The sequence below is a fragment of the Homo sapiens genome, chromosome 15, assembly GCF_000001405.40.
Source record: "Homo sapiens chromosome 15, GRCh38.p14 Primary Assembly".
Lineage (NCBI taxonomy): Eukaryota > Metazoa > Chordata > Mammalia > Primates > Hominidae > Homo > Homo sapiens.
In genome coordinates this window covers 62350687-62352084 of record NC_000015.10, presented here as the reverse complement: position 1 = coordinate 62352084, position 1398 = coordinate 62350687, and the positions used below count along the sequence as shown (strand labels likewise).

Sequence of the window (1398 nt, the reverse complement as noted above, 5' to 3'; positions counted from 1 at the left end):
AGGTGATTCACCCACCTCGGCCTCCCAAAGTGCTGGGATTACAGGCATGAGCCACTACCCCTGGCCTCTTTCTGCTCTTCTTTCTACAGCTAGTCAGTCTTGACTGCCTCTTATATGCTTCTGGGATCAACTCCATACTGTCCCCATGACCCCCTGGATGGTGCAGGCTGTCATCACCATTCTCAGAACAGTCCTTGGGGGATGCTGCTGAGGTAGCTACTGCACAGGCCTTGTCTTGTTTTATTCTCAATAACCTTAGAGTGGGTGCTGTTATCCCCATTGTCCACTGCGTGTTCCACATCATGAGGGAGGATCACTTCCTCCACCCCCTTCTCTGCTGCTCCAATGGCTTCCTCTCCTTGTCTTCTTGTCCCCATGTCTAAAGCTTTCACCTTCTGAGGAAGACCACAGGCCTGCTTCCAGCCTGCCTGGCCCCAAAGAAGGCCCTGCCAGGTCAGAGAGCCCACGGACAGGCCATGTGGTTCAGAAGCTGAGACGGTGAACCCTGACTGACCAGCTTTCTTGCTCTTTCTAAAGCGGGCTTGCCCTCTTCTCCTTTTCCCGGTATCTGCTCACATCTCCCTTTTCTTTACCCTCACTCCCGTTTCTACTCTTATTTTCTCTGTGGCTCTTACTCAATAGGCTTTCTTCCCCTGTGTTTTCCCATTTGTTTCTCTGTCAGCCTTTTATTTTTTCCAGACGGAGTCTCACTCTGTGGTCCAGGCTGGAGTGAAGTGGTATGATCTCAGCTCACTGAGACCTCCGCCTTCCAGGTTCAAGCGATTCTCCTGCCTCAGCCTCCCAAGTAGCTGGGCTTACAGGCACCCGCCACCACGCCCGGCTAATTTTTGTATTTTTAGTAGAGACGGAGTTTCACCATGTTGGCTAGACTGGTCTCGAACTCCTGACCTCAGGTGATCTGCCTGCCTTGGCCTCCCAAAGTGCTGGGATTACAGGCGTGAGCCATCGTGTCCGGCCTCCCATCAGTCTTTTCTAGTCCCACTCATTTAATTGCCTTTTTGTTTCCTTGCAGGGTGAATAGGATCTCAGGGCCCCAAGAAGGAAGCAATAGGGAAAGGCACCGCCTGATCCTCCACTGCAGGCAGAAAACAACTTCTGCTTTCTCTTGCTGCCTCTCGGGGTCAGCATGCAAACCTAGGTGGGGTCCGCCCCGCCGCAGACCCTTGCCCACCGGCCCTAAGGCTGGCCATTACCGTCACGTGGGCCCTCTAATCCGCAGAAGTCAGAGTTCTCACCCAGAACTGCCATGATCCTCTCCCTGCTCATGCGATTTCCTTGTGGCCGTTCTCGGCCCCACTCCTGAAATCAGGAAAAGGATCTTTGCCTCTGAGCGTCAGAAGGGGAGGAGTCCGGTGGAGCCTAGTGAACCAGCACCAT

General features: G+C 53.7%; 1 annotated feature.

Annotated features, from left to right (window-relative positions):
- Nucleotides 697-1197: an enhancer, noted in NCBI's record as "OCT4-H3K4me1 hESC enhancer chr15:62643087-62643587 (GRCh37/hg19 assembly coordinates)". NCBI's record gives its function as "activates a minimal SCP1, AML or CMV promoter by ChIP-STARR-seq in primed H9 embryonic stem cells {active_cell/tissue: H9 hESC(primed)}" and the evidence as "EXISTENCE:reporter gene assay evidence [ECO:0000049][PMID:30033119]".